Source organism: Homo sapiens, chromosome 12 (genome assembly GCF_000001405.40).
Source record: "Homo sapiens chromosome 12, GRCh38.p14 Primary Assembly".
NCBI classification, from domain to species: Eukaryota; Metazoa; Chordata; class Mammalia; order Primates; family Hominidae; genus Homo; species Homo sapiens.
The window spans coordinates 6,963,209-6,965,326 of NC_000012.12; the positions used below are offsets into that span (position 1 = coordinate 6,963,209).

A 2,118-nucleotide genomic window follows, 5' to 3' on the forward strand; every position below is an offset into this window, starting at 1 on the left:
TGCGCTGGCTGCCCGGCAGGCGGAGAAGGAAGGAGGAAGAGCGGAGGCCAGGGCGGGCTCTAGGCCGTGGAATCTGGGGCCTTAAAGCCCCTTCGTCTCCCCAGCACCCACTCTCTGGGGGCAGGTGGGCCCGGTGACAGGTAAAGGCCACCAGGGGAGAGGTCCTGGGCTGAGCTTGGGACTGCAGAGGGGGGATGAGGGTGGGTAAATCGGTGTGTGTCGCGGGTCGGGAAAGGCTGCCGGGGGTAGGGGAAGGTGGCTCAGAGGCGGCGGGCCGACGGTCGAGGGGCTTCGGAGGGCCTGCTTGGACTGCAACCTGGGCCTCGTGATCAGCGACCCAGGGTGTGGCTGGTGGCGGGCAGCAGGGCTCACCAGGAAGTGTCCCCAGGGACTCGGGTGGTGGGGGGATGGGAGCCAGGGATCTGCAGCTTTTCCGCAGGGATCCTGGGCCTGAAGCTGCCTGACCCAAGGTGGGCGGGCTGGGCGGGGGCCCTCGTCTTACCCAGCAGTGTTTGGGTGCGGTTGGGAGTCTCTAATACTGCCGGGTAATGATGGAGGCCCCTGTCCCTGTGTCAGCAACATCCATCGCCTCAGGTCCCCAGCCCTTAGCTGGCTGCAGCCCCCTCCCCACTTCCCACGCACCCCGGAAGCCCCTCGTCTTGAGCTGAGAGCGTTGCACAAGGGGTGGTTCTTGTTGGCTGGCTGCCACTAAGGGACACAATGGGCCCCAGCCCCTCCTCCCACCCAGTGCGATTTGTCACCTGGTGGATCCAGAACCCACAGTCGACCTTGAGCTTGGGGTTGGCTCGCCCCCTCTCAAGAGACCTCACCTGGCCTGTGGCCAGGGTCCCCTGTAGCAACTGGTGAGCGCGCACCGTAGTTCTCTGTCGGCCGGCCCTGGGTCCATCTTCCAGTACAGTGTTGGATGGTCTAATTGTGAAGCTCCTAACACTGTCTGGTAAAGATGGCTCCCGGGTGGGTTCTCTCGGCAGTAACCTTCAGGGAGCCCTGAAGACCATGGAGGACTACTGACCAACAACCTCTGACCTTCACCCCTCTGGATGGGGGACGAATCACTAGGCAAAGGGGAACAATGGGAAGGAGACAAAATGGCTGCCTTTACAGCTGCAGCAAGATGTGGAAACACTGGTTCCCTAGGCACCTCCATTGTCTTCCCGCCTTGGGAGCATGAAATAAATAAAGTGTGAAGGGGAACATGAGGAAGACTGATCCAAGTCACTTGACCTGTCTTTTGTCTAGTTGTTTATCTCATCTTAGCCTCCCAGCAACTCAGGATTGGGGCTGCGACGTCTGCTTTGTCTTTCATGATACTCAACCCCAAGCAGAGAAAAATATCTTAAAAATCGAAGCAGATTAACCCAGTCCCTCTGTTCAGATCCACCTGCTGCCCTATCTGCATTTGGCAGTTCCTGGACATACTTTGCACCTATGTTTTGTCTGAGTTCCACATCTTCCTTGTCTCCCCGCAGGGATGGGAAATGGGCAGTAGTGGGAGATTCAGGTATAAACGGTGGCTCTGTTTCTCTGGTGCCTGAGATTCGGGAAGGCCTGTCTTGGGAAGATAAGTGTCAGCTTATCTGTGGACTGAACAGACAGGCACCTGTTCTGTTGGCCCCGGAACTGCGGGCATGAAAAGCCCACCTCCCCAGGGGAGGCCTGTTAGCTAGCAGCTCCTCACGCCTGGTGACTGAGAAATGGAGTCTGGGGGGCCTACAGCAGGCCACGCGATCCACTGGGCTTCTGGGCACAGAAGTGCCTCAACAGGCACAGGCAGGCTCCCCACAGCCACAAGGAACCCTGCTGCCAAGGAAGCAGCTCCTGTTGGGGTCATCAGATTTTTAATCTGGCTCAGCAAAGCCATGGCTGTCCAGCCTTAAAAAAATGGGTGATGTGGGAGAAATGGAGGGTGTGTGAAGAGCACAGCTGGGCCTCGAGAACTCAGGGCCAGCCTTCCCAGCTTGGGTCCTGTTTCGGAGCCCAGGCCTTGCTTCCCCTTAGCCGCCCCAGCCAGATTCTTTTGCGCCCCCTGCTGGCACACACAAAGACAGACCCAGGAGCGCACATGTGAACGTGCGCATGCTTGCTGCCAGTTACCCA

General features: G+C 58.9%; 1 long non-coding RNA gene and 2 other non-coding genes across 3 annotated transcripts, besides 1 other annotated feature; all 3 read left to right on the forward strand.

Annotated features, from left to right (window-relative positions):
• On the forward strand, window positions 37–1,239 carry MIR200CHG (MIR200C and MIR141 host gene). Its single transcript, NR_135032.1, has 2 exons — window positions 37–140; window positions 993–1,239. It is a non-coding gene; the product is annotated as an MIR200C and MIR141 host gene (long non-coding RNA).
• On the forward strand, window positions 491–558 carry MIR200C (microRNA 200c). The gene has a single exon (NR_029779.1). It is a non-coding gene; the product is annotated as a microRNA 200c (primary transcript).
• Window positions 889–983, forward strand: MIR141 (microRNA 141). Its single transcript, NR_029682.1, has one exon. It is a non-coding gene; the product is annotated as a microRNA 141 (primary transcript).
• Window positions 1,734–1,783: an enhancer, noted in NCBI's record as "active region_5910". NCBI's record gives its function as "activates an Ori minimal core promoter by ATAC-STARR-seq in GM12878 lymphoblastoid cells {active_cell/tissue: GM12878}" and the evidence as "EXISTENCE:reporter gene assay evidence [ECO:0000049][PMID:35858748]".